Source organism: Homo sapiens, chromosome 18 (genome assembly GCF_000001405.40).
Source record: "Homo sapiens chromosome 18, GRCh38.p14 Primary Assembly".
In the NCBI taxonomy this organism is placed as follows: Eukaryota; Metazoa; Chordata; class Mammalia; order Primates; family Hominidae; genus Homo; species Homo sapiens.
In genome coordinates this window covers 76,707,877-76,728,784 of record NC_000018.10, presented here as the reverse complement: position 1 = coordinate 76,728,784, position 20,908 = coordinate 76,707,877, and the positions used below count along the sequence as shown (strand labels likewise).

The 20,908-nt window shown below is 47.9% G+C and overlaps 1 long non-coding RNA gene across 1 annotated transcript, besides 1 other annotated feature; it reads right to left on the bottom strand.

Moving 5' to 3' along the window:
* Nucleotides 1-913: 913 nt before the first annotated feature.
* Nucleotides 914-6,421, bottom strand: LOC105372213 (uncharacterized). Its single transcript, XR_935658.2, has 3 exons — nt 6,335-6,421; nt 5,427-5,582; nt 914-990 (listed from the first exon to the last, which is right to left on the bottom strand). It is a non-coding gene; the product is annotated as an uncharacterized LOC105372213 (long non-coding RNA).
* Nucleotides 7,378-7,547: an enhancer, noted in NCBI's record as "active region_13512". NCBI's record gives its function as "activates an Ori minimal core promoter by ATAC-STARR-seq in GM12878 lymphoblastoid cells {active_cell/tissue: GM12878}" and the evidence as "EXISTENCE:reporter gene assay evidence [ECO:0000049][PMID:35858748]".

The window sequence follows — 20,908 nt, the reverse complement described above, 5'->3', positions numbered from 1 at the left end:
AGAGGCTAACAGAGTGGATTAAAAAAATGATTCAACTATATGCAAGGGTATTGTGCTACTGACAAAAAGTAATCTCAAAAATTCACACAAGGTCGGGCGTGGTGGCTCACGCTTATAATCCCAGTACTTTGGGAGGCCGAGATGGGCGGATCACGAGGTCAGGAGATAGAGACCATCCTGGCTAACATGGTGAAACCCCGTCTCTACTAAAAATACAAAAAAAATCAGCTGGGCATGGTGGCAGGCACCTGTAGTCCCAGCTGCTCAGGAGGCTGAGGCAGGAGAATGGCGTGAACCTGGGAGGTGGAGCTTGCAGTGAGCTGAGATCGTGCCACTGCACCTCAGCCTAGGTGACAGAGCGAGACTCCATCACAAAACAAAACAAAACAAAATTCACACAATATATGATTTCATTTACATAACATTCTTGAAATGATAGAAGCACAGATGGAGAAGAGATGACTAGTTTCCAGGGTTTGGGAACGGTGGGAGCAGAGAGGCAGGTGTGGCTTCAGAGAGGTAGCAAGAAAGACATCTCTGTGTTGACAGAAGAGTTCTGTATCTTGATTGCAGTGGTGATTACATGAAAATATGCCTGTTAAGATGGGTTAGAACTATACACACACCCAGTACCAGTGTCAGTTTCCTGGGTTTGATGTTGTACTATATTTACATACAATGTAACCATTGGAGAAAACCAGGTGAAGGGTGCATGTCTCTCTAAGCTGTCTTTGTAACTTCCTATAAATCCAATATTATTTCAAAATAAAAGTTTAAGACACAGGACAGAATTTTATATGTGGTGTGAGTTCAACCACACAAATAATTTTATTTGGATACAGCAAAATACAAGCAATAAATGCACTTTTTTAAAAAGTTAACAACATAGCCTTCTACAGTGGCATCAGCAACAGGGTATTATAACTTCAGTGGCACCAATATTCAGCATTAATGGAAACGATTTTCTTCTCTGGTTTATAAAATGATGACCTGGCAAGAAAATGTGAGTTATTAGTAAGCAGTGAAGCCAGAAGATGTTTCTGTTCTATTTTAGTGAACTATTTTTGTCTCCTCTTTGTAAACCAAGTGATTGTCCTTATTTTTAAGTATGTCTTGGAGCACAACAAGACTAGTTCAGAAATACATTTCTTGTCTGGTACAGATCATTTTCTAAAGAAATGGTGGTACAGAATTAGATAAAAAGTAGGTCAACTTTACCCAGTAGTTTACAACTCTATACGGTCAAAAAAGATTTCAATCAGGTTTGTTTCATACAGGGAATAGTATTACAGGATACCTTTCCTGGAGGATACGAAATTTCAGATTTTCCAAGAGAAGTAATTTTTTATTCTTTGTGGCACAAACAGTTCTTTTCTGGATTATATGACTGACAAAGATGTAATGTATTATAGTTGAAAACGTGGATTCAGCCTAATTCTTAGGCCAAGTGTGTTTTTGTTTTGTTTTGTTTGTTTTGAGGCAGGGTCTCACTGTCACCTAGGCTGGAGTGCAGTGGCATGAACATGGCTCACTGCAGTCTCGACATCCCAGGCTCAAGTGATCCTCCTGCCTCAGCCTCCCAAATAGCTGGGACTATAGGTGTGCGCCACCATGCCTGGCTAATTTTCTTTCTGCTTTTTTTTTTCTTTTGGAGACGGAGTTTTGCTCTGTCACCCAGGCTAGAGTGCAGTGGCACGATCTCAGCTCACTGCAACCTCTGCCTCCAGGGTTCAAGTGATTCTCCTGCCTCAGCCTCCTGAGTAGCTGGGGTTACAGGCGCACACCACCACACTTGGATAATTTTTTGTATTTTTTTTTTGTTTTTTGAGAGGGAGTCTCACTCTGTCACCCAGGCTGGAGTGCAGTGGCGCAATCTCGGCTCACTGCAAGCTCTGCCTCCCGGGTTCACACCATTCTCCTGCCTCAGCCTCCCTAGTAGCTGGGACTACAGGCGCCTGCTGCCACGCCTGGCTAATTTTTTGTATTTTTAGTAGAGACGGGGTTTCACCGTGTTAGCCAGGATGGTCTTCATCTCCTGACCTTGTGATCTGCCGGCCTCGGCCTCCCAAAGTGCTGGGATTACAAGCGTGAGCCACCGCGCCCGGCCAATTTTTTGTATTTTTATTAGAGATGGGATTTCACTGTGTTTGCCAGACTGGTTTTGAACTCCTGACCTCAGGCAATCCACCCGCCTCAGCCTCCCAAAGTGCTGGGATTATAGGCATGAGCCATTGCAACCAGCTGCCTGGCTAATTTTTTAAATAAGTTTTTGTAGGCATGGGGTCTCACTTTGTCACCTAGGCTGCTCTCAAACTCCTGGGCTAAGTGGTCCTCTCGCAAAAGCCTCCTAAAGTGCTGAGAGTACAGCACTGTGCCCTGCCAGGCTAGGACCTTACAGGCATTCACACTATATATTACTCTAACACACCATTTGTTTATTTGTATTCACCACCCATGTAGAACTGTCACATTGTTTTACTACCTCTTCCTGTGCCTTAGAGCAGGGGTCCCTGACCCCCAGGCCATGGACAGTAGTGGTCTGTGGCCTATTAGGAACTGAGCTGCATAGCAAGAGGTGAGCAGCAGGTGGGTAAGGGAAGCTTCATCTATCTGTATTTACAGCTGCTCCCCATTGCTCACCTCACTACCTAAGCTCCGCCTCCTGTCAGATGAGTGGCAGCATTAGATTATCCTAGGAGCTTGAACCCTATTGTGAACAGCGCGTGAGAGGGATCTAAGTTGCTCGTTCCTTTAGAGAGTCTAATGCCTGATGATCTGTCACTCCCATCGCTCCCAGATGGGACCATCTAGATGCAGGAACAGAAGCTCAGGGCTCCCACTGATTCTACATGATGATAAGTCATATAATGATTTCATTATATACTACAATGTAATAATAATAGAAATAAAGTGCACAATCAATGGAATGTGCTGGAATCATCCTGAAACCACCCCTGCCACCATCTGTGGAAAAACTGTCTTCCACAAACCAGTTCTTGGTGTCAAAAAGGTTGGGGACCACTGCTTTAGAGGAGATTATAATAAGAAGGATCCAGACAACGGGACAAAGCTAAAAAGTTTCATGACAAACATTTGCATGACAGCTCCTCCTTTGTGCTGGTGAAGGTGCTTGTCATTTTCTATTCCAGTTTTGAATGGGGATCTGACTCCAGCTGTTACATACTTTCAGAAACATGAGCAAACAAGTTTAGTGTTTTAGCTACAAATAATCCCCCAAAACACCAAGCAACTAATCCTTGGTCAATAGCTGTTTATTTGAACACAGCTGCTCCATTGCCATCAGACTGAACACGACTATGCAAGAAACCCTCCAAAATGCTACATTTTGAACTTTATAAAACTTACAGCTGCAATAATGCCAGATACTTTATCAGGCATCTGGTATTACTGCAACTGTATCTAACAGATTCCACGGGGCACCCTCCAGGGTTTCTTTTTTTTTTCTTTCTTTCTTTCTTTCTTTTTTTAAAATATACTTTAAGTTCTGGGATACGCATGCAGAACGTGCAGGTTTGTTACATAGGTATATACATGCCACGGTGGTTTGCTGCACCCATCAACCCTACATGAGGTATTTCTCCTAATGCTCTCCCTCCCCTAGCCCCCAACCCCTGACAGGCCCCTGTGTGTGATGTTCCCTTCCCTGTGTCCTTGTGTTCTCATTGTTCAACTCCCACTTGTGAGTGAGAACATGCACTGTTTGGTTTTCTGTTCCTGTGTTAGTTTGCTGAGAATGATGGTTTCCAGCTTCATCCATGTCCCTGCAAAGGACATGAACTCCTCCTTTTTTATGGCTGCAGGGTTTCTTTTAAGATAGAAACTTGTGACAGATGATTTTTACACTGGATCCTGGGAGAGGGGGTTCTCTACCCTGTCTTCTCGCTTTTACTATCTGAAGACTCTTTTCACCTGAGGTCCCACATGGGGAAGCAGAGATCTCTGTTAGCACCTGCTAACATTTATGGTAAAGAACGTCACCTTCTACGTCCAGGCGCTGCACTGAACCCATCATCTTACGTCATCCTCCTGACAATTCTGTGGGCTGAGCACCGTTCTACTGCTCCCCATTCCTGCCATTTTAGGAAGAAAGCAAGGCTTAGAGGGGTTACATTTTCCCAAGAGCATGCAGCTGTTAAGTGGATTTAAATCTGATCTCTTAAAATTTAAATTTGAGCATTCCAGTGATTAAATGCTTTCAAGGAATTGGACATTTTTGGTCAGTCAGCACCGCCTAAAGGCCTCCGTGCTGGAGAGCCCTCACAGCCCCATTCACCCACCCCACTCCCCATCGGTTTGATCAAATGTTGCAGATCCCTAGTCATTTGTCCTTTCTCTGTGCTCTGCAGAAAAAGAAACGGCTAGGAAACAGGAAGACAGCACCCAAGCACTATTTTCATTCTCCTTGACTCTTCTTTGCAGAAAAGGGCCCAGTTTCCTTGCCTTATGTAGTAACACTGAATAAGAGGCAAAGAACACTGCTATTTCTACAGCCGTGTTACCAGCTCTTCCCCACTTAGCCTCTCAGGGTACACGGCCTGGCGATGCCCTTCCTCAAGCCTGATTTTTATTTTGTCTTCGTGCTCAGCTTGCAAGAGCCTGTTGAGCAGCAGGAAAGGGGGAGGCCCAGGCTTTGAGGACGAGCGGCTCGGCTCTGCCTTGGCTGTGTGCTGGCATTTCGTGTTGCGGAGCTGTGGTTGTTTCGTTTGTCTGTATACAGCAGCCACCACACAGTTTGCATCGCAGGGAACCGGATGTCAGCCCTTACCCCCGGGCCCTGTCCAGGGTCTCCCCACTGGTGCGGAGAGGTGGGAGAGATTTCCTCTCCAGCCCCTCTGCTTCTCAGGGCTGGGGGCTCCCCAGCCACCAGTTCCGCTCCCTTGGCTGCTAGGCTGGCCTGGGTGTGCTGGGCACCTGTCCCACTGGCATCAGGGTGGAGGCTCTCCGCAGGCATCAGGGTGGAGTCTTTACAGAAGTGGTTTTCAGGGTGTGGGTTTCAGACCAGCATCATCATCGCCACCTGGGAACTTGTTAAAGATGCAAACTCCGGCCGGGCGCGGTGGCTCACGCCTGTAATCCCAGCACTCTGGGAGGCCGAGGTGGGCGGATCACGAAGTCAGGAGATCGAGACTATCCTGGCTAACACGGTGAAACCCCGTCTCTACTAAAATACAAAAAATTAGCCAGGCGTGGTGGCGGGCACCTGTAATCCCAGCTACTCGGGAGGCTGAGGCAGGAGAATGGCGTGAACCTGGGAGGCGGAGGTTGAAGTGAGCCGAGATCGTGCCACTTCACTCCAGACTGGGCGACAAAGCGAGACTCCGTCTCAAAAAAAAAAAAAAAAAAAAAAGCAAACTCCAAGCCCCCTCCCACTGCCTCTGGACAAGCTCTGTGTCTGACACGCCTACCTGATCATTCTGACCCAACTCAAACTGAAGGCCACCACCACAGTGATGAGGGTTAGAGCCGGGCCTGCAGTGGAACTTCCTGGGACCGGGTCCTGGCCCTGCTGCTCTGTGATCTCAGGCAACTCAAGGAACTTCTCTGTGTCTCAGCTTTTCCATCTGTGAAACAGGGACAATAGTGATAAAGGTAGTCCGTGAGGTTATGGGGTTCCAATGGGGCAGTCCATGGAAAATGCTCAGAAGTTCTAGCACGCAAAGGCTTTGCTGGTGTTAGTTTTACTAATAAACAGTGTTTAGTGTTACTAAATTAACACTGATAATAATTAATAATAACATGGATTTTGCTAGGTTTGGGAAAACTGAAGGAACTTAGAATAAAGAGGAGAAAATCCCAATTCAGCTATGCCACATATGGCCTTCCACGGTCCAAGGGGAAAGCAGTCGAATCCTCCTGGGCCCCTGACAGCATAGCGCTCTGCTCCCCCTCCTGGCGCTTGACGGTGCCCCTCTCCCTCACAGCCTGCTCTAGGCCTGCTGCCACACCATGCTCTGGAGTTTAGGGAACCCCCTCTCTACTCATAGGCACTGTAGGCCTTCTTTCCAGTCCCGCTGTCTCCCCAACCCCACAGCAGCAATCCTTTGTAAGGTTCAAGTTATTCCATCTACACTGAGCCCCAGGGCAGCACTGCCTGCTGTCTCTAGGCATGGTTCTCAGGGACGTCCTTGTCCTGACCCAGGGCTCTGCACTTCCGTGGACCCCCATAGGACCCAGGCCATGGTCCAAGGCTCCAGAGGCTCTGCAGGCCCCAGGCAGCCTGGCTGCAGGTTCACGGAGACCTGGTCCTGCCCCAGGCTCAGGAGGGCACAATCGTGGACGTGAAGGCTTTTGCATGTTCCAGAAGTCCCCTGACCTGTGCAAATATGTCATGCTTAGGGTCGGGGTCCAGCTCCAACTGAGGTCCGAGGAGAGTGGGTGGATGTGGGGCAGGGAGCTGGAAGAACATTCAAGAGACAGCAGGTAAATGAGACATGACTTTATTCAGCAGCTCCTTCACAGGCTCAATGTTACGCTTATACACTACACAAACAATAGTGGCTAAGAGCCAGGTGGGGAGCTTCTCTATGTTATGTCTACCTGGCTATGATTATATAAGACATGGGACTGCACGCTTGCACCCCAACCCCACTGAGTCAACCAGGCTGTTTACCTCGGCCTATGCCTGCTACCCCTATGCCTGCTTGGCTGCAGCTACAGCCATGTTCCTTACAGGATGTTTCTAAAGCTCCATTTCCCAAATCAAGATTGGGGCTCTGAAGAGAGAGGACGAACAAGGGCCTGCTTCGTATCTAAGCCTCATTCTCATTCTGTCTCCCCTTCTCCTTTGCACCATCTCTCAGGACTGGAAGAGAAAAACTCCAGAGTTTTCTTCAACACCCTGGCTTCCCTCTGGTCGGGCGGTAACATGGGGGCCTTGTGGTTCCAGGTGGAGGGCCCCACATTCTCCGCTCTGCAGAGGGGCCTCTGTGATGGCAGGACTCCAGGCTTTGTTCTTCAGTGTTGAAAGATTTTTAGAAAACTGTCTATTCCACACATTTTCATTCTTACTTTCTGTCTTGGTCTTAACAGAGCTTGGCTTTCAAGCTCATTATATTGCTACAGAATCAAACTAAAGTTCATATTGACATCACAATGACTTGGGGCTCTTGTGGGTATCCACCTTTCCCAGAAGCTCAAAAGCCAGGACAACAAAGTTTAGAAGATTCGGGATACTACTGAAAATAGATTTCAAAGTTCCTGATGGCTTCTTTTCCTACAGCAATCCCCTCTTAACCCCATCTTCCCCCTGCCCCTACTGTGCCCCATGTGGCCCACCAGGACTAAGGTGGGACCTCTCGCTAAGCCACATCCTTTCAACAAGGTTTTCCTGTGGTTACCCCATGCTTTGAAGTGACTGCTCAGAAGCGCTCAGCTCATTCTTAGCCAAGACCCGGCCCAGGGTGCTGTTTGTGGGGAGGAAAGGAGGTGAACTGCACTCCTGTATTTTTGTAAAGAAACTACTCGGCATCTGGTGCCTGCTCGATTCATTGCAGCAGCTGTTACTATTTTGCCCATTAAATCTCTCTGCAGCACTGAGCTCACTCACCTTCTCATAGGAAGTTATCCTGCGTCTATTTCCACCACCCCCACTGGACCACAACACCCCTGGACAACACTGTTCCCCAGCTTCCTCAGGCATAAAATTGGGATTATAATACTATTACCTCGTAGGACTATCTTGATACCAAAACAGGCGATATCTCTAACTCACATAGTACAGCACCGAATACAGTGTCTTAAAAAGCAGTTATTGATACTAGCTACATATTTTTAAATAATTTATTGAAATGAAATTCACGTAACACAAAATCATTTTACAGTGAACAATTCAGTGGCATTTAGTGCATCTGCAATGTTGCGCAACCACCACCTCTAGTTCTGAAACGTCTCCATATTTCAAAACAAAACCCTGTCCTCATTCAGCAGCTTCCCTTCATGGCCTTTCCTCCCAGCCTCTGGCAACCACCAATCTGCTTTCTGTCTCCATGGAATTATCTATTCTGGATATTTCATATAAATGGAATCATACAATATGTGACCTTTTGTGTCTGGCTTCTTTCACTGAGCATAATGTTTTCAAGGTTCACCCGTGTTGCAACATGAATCAGTAACTCTGTGTCTTTGGGGGTGAATCCTATTCTATTGTATGGATGCAACACAATTTGCTTATCTGTTGGTCAGTTGTTGGGTATTTGGGTTGTCTCCACCTTTTGGGTACTGCGAACAGTGCTGTTATGGGTATGTGTGTGTACAGGTATTTTTTTCACTTTCTGCTTTCAGGTCTCTGGGGTATATGCATAGCAGATTTCTGTGTCACATGGTATCTCAATGTTTACTTTTTTTCTCTGTGTGCAAATATTTTTTATTGTAGTAAAATGTATATAACATTTACCATGTTAACCATGTGTGTGTGTTTGTTTGTTTTTGAGATGGAGTCTCACTCTGTTGCCCAGGCTGGAGTGCAGTGGCACGATCTCGTCTCAATGCAACCTCTGCCTCCCGGGTTCAAGTGATTCTCTTGCCTCAGCCTCCCAAGTAGCTGTGATTACAGGCATCCACCACCACGCCCAGCTAATTTTTGTATTTTTAGTAGAGATGGGGTTTCACCATGTTGGCCAGGCTGGTCTCGAACTCCTGACCTCAGGTGATCCTCTTGCCTTGGCCTCCCAAAGTGCTGGGATTACAGGTGTTAACCATGTTTAAGCATACAGTTCTGTGCATTAGGTACCTTTGCACTGCTGTGCACCCATCAACATTATCCATCTCCAGAACTCATCCATCATCCCAAAATGACACTTTGATCCACTACACAATAATTCCCCACTCCCCCCTCCCTCAGCTGCTAACTGGCTTTTGACTTTCTGTCTCTATGAATTAGATTGCTCTAGGCATGTCATATAAGTGGAATCATGAAGATTTATTTTTTGTGAGTGGTGTATTCTACTTAGCATAATGTCTTCAGGATTCATCCATGTTATGAATGTATTAATATTAGAATTTCTTTGCTTTTGAAGGAGTATTCTGTGGTATATACCACATTTTGTTTATCCATTCATCCGTTCATGGACGTTTCAGTTGTTTCCAGCTTTTTGATGTTGGGAATAACACTGCTGTGAATACCAGGATATAATCTGTTTGAGTCTCTGCTTTCAATTGTTTGGCATATATACCCAGAAATGGAATTGCTGGATCATACAGTAATTCCATTTTGGATTTCTTTAGGACTTGCCATACTGTTTTCTATAGGGTCTACACTATTTTACATTTTCACCAGCAGTATACAAGAGTTCCAATTTCAGGCCAGGCATGGTGGCTCACGCCTGTAATCCCAGCACTTTGGGAGGCCGAGACAGGAGGATCACTTGAGGTCAGATGTTCAAGACCAGCCTGGCCAACATGGTGAAACCCCATTTCTACTAAAAATACAAAAATTAGCCAGGCATGGTGTCGTGCACCTGTAATCCCAGCTATTCGGGAGGCTGAGACAGGAGAATTGCTTGAACCGGGGAGATGGAGGTTGGAGTGAGCCAAAATTGTGCCATTGTACTCCAGCCTGGGCAATAGAGCAAGACTCCATCTCAAAAAAAAAAAAAAAGTGAATTCCAATCTCTCTATATCCTTACAAACACTTATTATTTTTCATATTTCTAAATTATAGCTATTCTAGTGAGTATGAAGTTTGCTTTTTATTTGTAGTTCCCTAATAACTAATGATGTTCAGCATTTTTTCATGTGCTTGTTGACCATTTGTGTGTATGTGTGCGTATGTGTATATATGTCTATTTCAGTCATTTGCCCACTTTAAAATTAAGTTTTGTTGTTGTTGGGTTATAGAAGTTCCTTATATATTCTGGATATTAATCCCTTGTCAGATATTTTGGCCAAATCCAAGGTCATGAAGATTTGCCCCTTTGGTCTTGATCTTTTTTTTTTTTTTTTGAGACAGAGTCTTGCTTTGTTGCCCAGGCTGGAGTGCAGTGGCGCAATCTCGGCTCACTGCAAGTTCCACCTCCTGAGTTCATGCCATTCTCCTGCCTCAGCCTCCCAAGTAGCTGGGACTACAGGTGCCCACCACCACGCCCGGCTAATGTTTTTGTATTTTTAGTAGAGACAGGGTTTCACCATGTTTGCCGGGGTGGTCTCAATCTCCTGACCTCAAGTGATCAGCCTGCCTCAGCCTCCCAAAGTGCTGGGATTACAGGCGTGAGCCACCGTGCCCGGCCTGGTCTTGCTCTTATATTTAGATCACTGACTTATTTTGAGTTAATGTTTGCATACCATGTGAAGTGGGTTCCAAATTTATTATTTTGCACGTGAATATCCAGTGATCCCAGCACCATTTGTTGAAGAGACTATTCTTTCTCCATTGAATGGTCTTAGCACCTTTGCTGAAAATCAATTTGTCATAGATATGATTTATTTCTGGGCTCTCAATTCTATTCCATTGGTCTATATGTCTATCCCTCTGCTAGTACCACCGTTTTAACTACTGTGGCTTTGTCATAAGTTTTGATATCGGAACGTGTGAGTCCTCCAGTTTTGTTCTTCTTTTTCAAGATTGTTTTGGTTATTCGCGTTCACTGCAGTGCCACTGAAATTTTGATAAAGATTGAGTTTGAATTTGTAGATTGCTTTTTATCTTGACAATATTAAGTCTTTCAATCCATGAAAATGAGATGTCTTTCCATTTATATCGCTCCTTTAATTTATTTCAGCAATGTTTTACACCTTTCAGTTCACAAGTCTGTCACAGTTACATTCTCCTTGATTAAATTTATCCCTAGGTATTTTATTCTTTCTGATTCTATTGTAAATGAATTTTTTTTTTTTGAGACAGAGTCTCGCTCTGTCACCCAAGTTGGAGTGCAGTGGCTCGATCTCAGCTCACTGCAAGCTCCGCCTCCCAGGTTCACACCATTCTCCTGCCTCAGCCTCCCAAGTAGCTGGGACTACAGGCGCCCACCACCACGCCCAGCTAATTTTTTGTATTTTTAGTAGAGATGGGGCTTCACCGTGTTAGCCAGGATGGTCTTGATCTCCTGACCTCGTGATCCACCTGCCTTGGCCTCCCAAAGTGCTGGGATTACAGGTATGAGCCACTGCACCCAGCCGAAATTTTAATCTTAATTTCCTTTTTGAGTTTTTCATTGTATTGAAACACAACTGATTGTGTTGATCATGTATTCTGCAATTTGGCTGAATTTGTATATTAGATCTGTGCTGTGATTTGAATATGTCACCCCAAAATGCATGTTGGAAACTTAATTCCTATTGTAACAGGATCAAGAGATGAGGCCTGTGATTGTTAATACTAAGTGTCAATTTGATTGGATTGAAGGATGCAAAGTATTGATCCTGGTGTGTCTGTGAGGGTGTTGCCAAAGGAGATTAATATTTGAGTCAGTGGGCTGGGGAAGACAGATCCACCCTCAATCCGGGGGGGTGGGAGGACCATCTAAACAGCTGCTAGCAAATATAAAGCAGGCAGGAAAATGTAAAATAGTTAGACTGGCCTAGCCTCCCAGCCTACGTCTTTCTCCCGTGCTGGATGCTTCCTGCTCTTGAACATTGGACTCCAGGTTCTTCAGTTTTAGGACTTGGATTGGCTCTCCTTGCTCCTCAGCCTGCAGATGGCCTATTGTGGGAACTTGTGATTACGTGAGTTAATACTTAATAAAGTCCCCTTTATATATATCCTATTAATTCTGTTCCTCTAGAGAACCCTGACTAATACAGGGCCTTTGGGAGAGAATTAGGATGAGATAAGGGGCATCATATCATCCATCACATCAGTGTGGGGCCCTGTGATGTCTTCCTAGGAAGAGGAGGAGAGACCTGTGCTGGCGTGCCCTTGCCCCCTTGCCAGGTGGTGCCCTTTGCATGTTACGATACAGTAAGAAGGCTCTCACCAGATGTGGCACCTTGACCAGATGAATGAAATAGAACATTCACGTCTCCTGGGAATTTGGTCATGACAGAATCTGAGAAGGAGCAGGGAGCTGGAGGAAGCCAGGCCTCCTGACAGCGCCCAGCGACCTCAGACACGCCTGATAAGAGTCTGTCCCTTGTATCAGGTAGTGCTAGGGTCATGTTCTATCTTTGCCATATTTCATCTTTGACCTTGAACTTCCCAGATTCCAGAATTGTAAGAAATACATTTCTTTGTAAATTACCTAATTTTGTAGTATCCTATAATAGCAACAGAAAATGAACTAAGATAATCTAGAAGTTTTTTTTAAATTTCTTTAGGATTTTCCATAGAAGATCATGTAATTTGCAATAGAAATAGTTTTACGTCTTCCTTTCCAATTTGTATGTCTTGCCTAAGTGCTTTGACTGGAACTTCCAATACAATGTTTAATATCAGAGGTGAAAGCAGGAATCCCTGTCTTTTTCTTATCTGAGGAGTAAAGCTTTCAGTCTTTCTAGCTATTTATTTTTATTTATTTATTTTTTTTTGAGACGGAGTCTCAGCCTGTCACCCAGGCTGGAGTGAAGTGGTGCGATCTCGGCTCACTGCAATCTCCACCTCTTCGGTTCAAACGATTCTCCTGCCTCAGCCTCCCGAGTAGCTGGGACTACAGGCACGTATCACCACACCCGGCAAATTTTTGTATTTTTAGTAGAGATGGGTTTTCACCATGTTGGCCAGGCTGGTCTCGAACTCCTGACGCTATTTTTAAAAAAACCTTATTCTTCCTTTTCCTAACCATATACAACCTTCATGAGAGCTTTGAAACCAGTTTCACCACCTTTAATCATCTTTGTAACAACTTTTCTACTTAGCAAGAGCATAAGCTTGGATATAAAAATAGCATTGTTTTCCTCTTACTTTAGTTTACAAATATTTATAATATTCATAATTATCTCACCTCTTCTACTTCATATTCTCAGTTCATGTCTGACATAACTAAGTACTGATTGAGGTCATAGTTAAGCGCTCCACCCATCTGAATACTACCTAATTTTTGTCTAACTAAATTCTCTTTTCTCTGATCAGCAACATTTTTCAGAGATAGCTTAGTGAAAGTTTGAGCCATAAATTTAGCTAGTTTCATGTCATGCCTCCCAGATTTTCTTTGACACAAACGGGTAAAACTGCAGTGTTTAGAGCATGCTGGGGTCTTTTATTGCCTGGCTTGCATCACAAATGTCTGCTCAAAACGTGCTGAAGAGGGGCATTCCCAAGAAACAAATTCAGGTTGCTCTAGGCCGGCCTAGATCTGGCACATCTGCTTTGGATTTCATTATAACTTTAAAATGCTAGGGCAGGCAATGCTCTGGTGCAGCAGAATCTCCAGGGGACTCCGCGCAGCCCTGAATGCTGCCAGACCGTTTGAAATAACATGTCAGTGAGTTTGGAAAGACCTACTTTAAGAGTACAGATGGAGCAAGAGTACAGGGGGAAGACTCTTCATTCCCCCTGAGTCAGGTCCAATAAGTGAGCGAGAAGACCATGAAAGACTCCGAGGGCAACAGAACACTAGGACTGCTCGTGGCCCATCCGCCTCGAGAACGGCGGGTGTTTCCGTGGAAGCCTAGGACCCCGCAGTGTCCTGGCGGCTTTGCACACATTATCACAGCTCTAAGAGGTGGATACTGCTAACCACTTTCTACTGATGAGGAAGCAGAGGAAGCAGGCTCAGAGGGACACAGCATTTGCTTAAGGCCGCAGACCTGGCACCAGCAGAACAGGGATTAGGTTGTGGGACTTAGGGTAGTGTCTATGCTCTTTCTCCTGTACAGGGGTTGGCAAACTAGGCCTCAGAACCAATCGCACTCCCTATTTACGATTTGTAAATAAAGTTTTATTGGAATACAGCCACATCCACTTACTTCTGTATGGTGTGTTGCCACTTCTGCCACAGAACCAGATTGTAGTCTACAAAACCTAAAATATTTACTATCTGGCCTTTACACCCACAAAAAATGTGTTGTTCCGTGCTTGAGACCATAAGACCTTTCCTTACTCCTGGGGTTTTCCTTCACTTACTATATCCCCATCCAACAGGAATCCTAGAAAAATCTGCCGTATGTCCTAAGATAGTGACTCCAGCCCACTCCTCTCCCTGACAGAGACAGACTCAGGAGGGTGGCTCCTTCAGCTTCACGCGGTTTAACCCCCACCACCAGCATGCAGGTGCCCAGCACATACCCAGCCTTCCCTTACCTGAAAAGTGTTGCCTAGTGGCCCTGACCTCGTCACGGGCACTGTCTGATGCCAGCTGTCAGGGCTGCTCTGTTAAGGGAGAGACTGGGCTGTCTCCGCTTCCCCTCCCTGCTCAGTGCTTCCTCCCATGGCCATAGTGGCAGCTTTGTCCCAGGACCCAGGTTCCCTCGATAGAGGACCTGAAATGAAGGGGAAATAACCCACAAGTTCCATGTGTTAGAAATGACTTGGAGGAGTCCTAAGAATCCCATCTGCATGAGTGTGTCCTTAAGCCCGACTGGAGAGCTAGGCTTCATCGCCCTGGTAACCACCATCAGCAGTGCTCCTACTATCTGCTAGTTGTTGGCACATTATCTCCAGGCCTCATAACAGCCCCTGCGATAGGTGCAAATATTTTCATTTTACAGGAAAACCATGGGCTCAGTGCATGCTAAGATCATGTCTTAGTTCATTTGTGCTGCTACAACAAATACCCGAGACTGGATAATTTATAAAGAACAGAAACTAGTTTCACATAGTTCTGGAGGCTGGGAAATCCAAGTTCAAGGCACTAGCGGTTCAGTGTCTGGGGAAGGCTGTTCTCTCCTTCCAAGATGGTGCCTCGATGCTGTGTCCTCTGAAGGTGAGGAACACTGTGTCCTCACATGAGGAGAGACGGAAAAGAAAGATGCCAAACCCTATGTGAAGCCTCTTTTATGAAGGCCTTCATCCTATTCACAAGAGAGGAGCCCTCAGGGCCTAATCACCTCTCAAAGCCCCACCTCCCAACGCCATGACGATAGGCCTTGAGTTTCAACATTTGGATTCTGGAGGAGACACGTTTGGACCACAGGAGACCCTGATGCAGGGCACATGCGCAGTCAGTGCTCTAGGCCAGCAATCATGCCTGCTCATGACCCTCTGTCAACTCCACTTGCCCCTGTACGATTAGGTACAGAAGTATAGTGTCTGGTAAGGACTACACCCCAAGACCCTGAAGCGGCAGGAGAAGTGGGCCTGGTCTCCTCACTGTCCTGAACCCAACACTCCAAGGCTCAGAGCAGGGCTGGGCTTGGTGGCGGGGTCACTCTCCATGCCCAGGCTGATGGAAGATGCAGGTGCCCTGGGCAGGGGCTGTGGGCCCCATGCATATCCGCAGGCTCCTCCAACAATTTCCCCACAACCTCACACTCCCTCAGACTTGGGGGGCAGTGTTCCCCTCCCCAGCCGTTGGGTCTCTGTGTCTCTCTGCCCAGCCTGTGAGCTCCGTCTCCTCACTCTCAGCAAGGTGGCCGAGTGCCTGCTATGGGACAGGGCCAAGCAGGCACTTCCCAGACTGCAGTGACCTGCACCATGGAAGTATCCAGAAAAGGCACAAGCTTGCAGCACTGGGCGGTCCTATCCCATCAGGCTCTCCCTATTTTCCTGCAGGATTTATCCTTGTTGCTGTTTCTGTCTAACCTGATGCTGATGCTGCCGGGTTCTCCACCACCAGGAAGTGTCACCCTCTGTCTTGGGCAGTCTGGAGGGGCTCATTCAGGCCTTCGCAAGTCCACGGCCTCCGGACAGCAGACCTCACCAGCTGAGGTTGAGGCTCAACGTGCGCGTTATTTATGGGCCACGTATGACCCAGTGTTGTGTTTGCAGGACTTGCTGCTGGGGTGCAGGACATTCCCCATGAGTTTGGAGCCTGGCAGTCTAGAGATTTATGGCCTGAGCAGCTAGAAGAGGAAGCTGTAAAGTGCCTACAGAGCAGCTCTAAAAATTAAGATGTCTGCCTCCTGCACCCACAGGCGGGAAATGCTAGACCCCTGCCGCCTGGCTTAGTCTCCTCACACCGAGTTCATTCATGCTTGAAATGAGAAAGAAGGACAGGATGCATTTCATGCAATTTTGTCAGAGAATCTTCCTTATTTTTAGTTCCTGAAATAAAATAGAACATTCGAGTTTCCTGGGAAGTTGATCATGACAGAATCTGAGAAGGAGCAGGGAGCGGGAGGAAGCCAGGCCTCCTGACAGGCCCAGCGACCTCACAGGCCTCAGACGCAATGTGCCTGAGAAGAGTCTGTCCTTTGTATTTGGGTGGCGCTAAGGTCATGTTCTATCTTTGTCATGCACTTGCTGTCTAACTTGGGCCACGTATTAGTATTAAATTCTCTGGGTCTTGGTGTTTGACTTCACAGCTTTTAATGAGGGGACCATGGTGAACGTAGAGCCCCGGGCCTCACCTTAGATATGCAATTAATCCGGCCGGGCGCGGTGGCTCACGCCTGTAATCCCAGCACTTTGGGAGGCCGAGGCGGGCAGATCACGAGGCCAGGCGATCGAGGCCATCCTGGCTAACACGGTGAAACCCCGTCTCTACTAAAAATACAAAAAAATTAGCCGGGCGTGGTGGCGGGCACCTGTAGTCCCAGCTGCTGGGGAGGTTGAGGCAGGAGAATGGCGTGAACCCAGGAGGCGGAGCTTGCAGTGAGCCGAGATTGCGCCACTGCACTCCAGCCTGGGCGACAGAGCGAGACTCCGTCTCCAAAAAAAAAGATATGCAATTAGTCCCCTTTCTTCGCCTCTGCCTTCTCCTCCCCTAACCTGGCTCAGCAAAGCCTAAGGCCAAAGGCTTCAAAAAGTCTGAAGTGTTAAAGTATAAGCTGAGGGAGAGCAGGGCCCTGAAGGGCAGGGGTCACTCACTGAAGGGTACGGCCGGCTCTGCAGCGTGGTGAATCACTGTGCGTCCTGGGCCTAAGGCACAGGTGAGCGCCAGGTGCAGGGCATCTTCCCCACGCGCAGAGCAGGAAAGGCAGTGAGCACAGACACCCAGAGGCTCCAGTGTTTGCTGGTCTCAGCCTCGGCTAAGCACTTAACCTTTACACACAGTGTCCCAATTTAGTGCTTCCAATAACCCTGTTCAATGCTATTATTGCCTTCATTTACATCTAAGGAAAGTTCAGCCCAGAAAGGGCAGGTTACTTGCCCAGGTACCCACAGCTGGTAGCTAGAACGAGGTTTTGGCTCAAGGTTTCGGGGGCTCCAGATCCTAATCTCTAATCCACTGAAGGCCAAGCCAACTCAGAAGGATTGAGTTTTAGAATGAGAAAAACCTTCATCATTTTTTAGGGCCAGCAAATGTCAAGAGGAGGAGAGTCAAGAGGCAACCTCACAGAGCACGTCCTGTGTGCCAGCCATGGAGCCACGGGCAGGACGAGAAAAGTCAGTCTGCTGCCCTTCCCAGGGCACTGACCTGAGACAGAAAGATGATCTCGATGAACTCTCCTGGGCTGCGGAGGGCTGGGATGTTTGGGGAACTGTCGGGATAGGCAGAGCCTATAAATCTAATGCAGAGGCCTTACTTACACTGAGCCAGTTACAAGAAGCAACTCTTGCTAACTCCCAACTTAAAAGGCCAACAGTCTGGATTTCCCATGGCCGCACCTGCCCCACCCCACCCAGCTAGGCTGCTAGCATCAGGAATTGGCCAACATTTTGGGGAGTGAAATGACTCTGACAAGTGGGGCCCTCTGGAGAGCCTGAGGCCTTCAATAAGTCCTCAGAGTCCTGATTCTGGATGATCAAAGGAGTCCTGGGTCTGCCTGAAATCACCCAGGAAATGGTTGTTTGGTGTCGTTTCCTGCTGGCCAGGACAGGCCCTGCAGGCTGCCCAGAGCCGCTCCCCTGCCAAGAGCAGGCATCTGTCAGTGGCCCTGGGGTCATGGCTGGAGATGAACATTTTTGAACTTGTTTTAATGATGTTCAGAAGAGAGGAGCAAGAGAGCAGGTGGTGGCCCTGATGCACACACTCTCAAACCAGGTGGGACGGCCACCTGGTCACCCTGCCCAGGACACAGGCCCTCAGGTAGCCCCGCCTGGTGGGTTTCCTTCAGGGTATGTTCACCTGCTGGCACTCACCTGTTGGCGCCCTGCAGCTTGGCACCACCTCCCTCTAGTACCCCACACTGTACCCCACACTGTATTGCAAATGATGAGCGCTTGCTCTCGCTAGGGAGCTCAACTTCCATCTCTTTTTGCCAAAAAGGCAAATCAGTCACAAGTGCAGAACTCGCTCGTGATGAGGATACGCCAACATGCTGGACAGAGGTGTGGAGGATTATTTTCTGGAGGGGCCAGTATTATATTCTTTGCGGGTTCTACTCAAAGCCAGGGTCCCTTGGGTCTTGTCCAGGGCAAGGGCCGGGGGTTAAGTGTCGAATCCAGTCAGCAGCAGTTGTCTCAATTTCAGTTTAGACATCATTAAAAGGGTTCCTTGAAAGCAACTTGACATTCGAATGGAGAAAAAAAGAGTAAAGTAGACAATCCCAAATGTTAGATAATACAAATAATTGGTATTCTGTGTGTTTGGCATACGTGTGGTTCTTTCATTTTAGGTGGGCCTAATACTCTAGGAATTCAAAATCTTTCAAAGAAGTAAACATGCAGTTCTACAAAGACCCTGGAAATTGTCCACATTCCATATCCTGCCTGCTCCTCACCTATTTCCCTTCCCCTGTCATGTGTTTTGACTTTTCTTAACTTTTTCAGGCTCACGTGTTCAACTTTTAAAAGGGTTTTCCCTCATCCCTCAAAACAATAATAATTTAAAAAACCTAATAAACCCTGGAGCTGTAATTCGAGCGTAGGGCCACCAGATGGCAGCGGAGCATAAGTCACAGGCTCCGCGCTGCACCGGAAAGAAGCGCCTTGCTAGATCCTGCCGTGGGGAAGAAGGGCCCGGAGTCTATACACGCGGGTATAGACTGCACAACAGATTGAGGAGGAGGCTCAGCTCAGACGGCTAAGCCGTTTATTCTCAATCACGTGAGTCGTCAGTAGCAGGAGGCGGACCTGACTCAGGCCTGCTGAGCGCTCAGGCTACCTCCAGGGATGTGGAACCAGACAGCTCCTTGTTCCTGACCCAAAGACGGCTCATCTGGATGTTTAAATGTCAACAATATTGGCCTCTACCCAAAGCTTTAAGTGGAAAATCTCGAATATTTCTAACTGATTCCTCTTTCTTCTGCCGCCGGGCCCTAAGCCCGCAGGGCCCGTCCGCTGTCCTTGGAAATGCCTCTACAAAAATCCCCGCCGCCCTTTCTGTTCAATAACGTGACGTTAGCCACATGCTCGCTAGTCTCAGGGATTCAGAAATGTCAACTATTCTCTCCTCCTTTAAAGATTTTTTAAAGGGTAAACCAAGTCCCAGGTAAAATTTTATCTGAAGGAATTCTTAACTTACAGCAACTTCTAAAGCTGGTTTTATACCCAAGTTAGAGTTAGAAAGTTCCCTGGATGTCCTCCCTGTTTGACCTGGCAGGGGAGAAGTTTCTAGCACGCTTGTCTTTCCTTGCTTCTAGCCTAGCTGGGTTATTTTTAACTCAGGGACTGGCCCCGAGGCCCCAGCTGCTCGGAGTGGTCGAGGCCCCACAGGTGTGAGGGCTGGGGGCCTTGAGAGGCTCGGGCACCTGGCCCAGCAAGCACCTGGGCCTGGAGTCCACCCCAGGCCTTGGGGTTCTTTACAGACTCTTGCTCCGGGTTACCCCAGATTGCTTCATCCCGCCCCAGGGGAGGTGCAGAGGTGAGGCCTGTGAGACCTCCGCCACCCCCTCCTCTGCAGCTGTGACCCCGGAATCCGGTTTTCCTAAACTTGGTGTAACAAGGCCCTGGCAATGGCCTGGGCGCCAAGGCCTCAGTGTGGACTCCGTGGATCTAGGAGGGTACCTGGGCAGAGACAGCCATTTCCCCTTCACGTGACCATCACTTCCGGGTCACGTGACGACCGCTCTCTAAGCCACGTGACACTGCGGGGCATGGCAGGTAGGCGTGGCACGTGGAAACCAAGCTCTATCTCTTATGGGAGTCCCGAGTCGTCAGCCTTTGTTTCACAGAACGTTCCTGCGGCTTCCCGGAGCAGCCTCGCCAGAGTCCAGACCAACAGGATGCTGCCCGCCCTTCTTAGTGTGTTGGGGGTGCTAGGCCAGGAAAAGGGCCCACGCGAGATCTGCGTAGACAGTGATGACCCAGCCTTGCAGGGGGCTCCCGCAGCAGCTGAGGACAGGCCTCGGGGTGGTCGCCCACAGGCGGCCTAACCCTGCCTGCAGCCTCGGGAGCAGCCACGGTTGGATGGGGCAGTGGGAGGCCTGTGGGGATGCGGAGAGTGTGGTGGGGGTGAGAGCCCTTCTTTGATCCGCGCCGGCAGGGGAAAGGGATTTGGATCCCGGGTATGACAGTTGTAAAACAGGAGGCTCCTGAGGCCTGGGTGGCCCCGAGCAGAGGGCCAGGCCCGGCCCATCCCTGCTGTCTGAGCTGGTTCTCAGGCCACCTCCCGGAAGCCAGAGTCCCTGGCAGTTGGGAGCACAGACGCTGTGGCTCTTGCTGTTAAGGCCACGGCACCCTGAGAGAACTAACACTTGTGTTAGGAAGGCAGCGGGTTCACAGCCGCTTCCTGAGCAGAGCGCGTCAGGCCCACCTGTGTGGCTGTTGGGCTGCAGTTGGCTCCTGGAGACATGTCAGGGACAGGCGCCTCAGAGAAGGATGATCTGGAGTCAGGCACTCGTGTGAGGCACTGCTGGAGTGAGGGGTCGAAAGAGGGAATGGATTTGTGATTTTTTTCTAAAGTGAAATTTCTCCTGGGCATTTCCACTTTCCTCCGAATTTGCCTATACTTTAACCCTTTGCTAAGCCTTGCCTCAAGCACATCCCCACCGCCACCGTCTGCATTTCACTGTTCTCAGGGCCGTAAATGTCCGG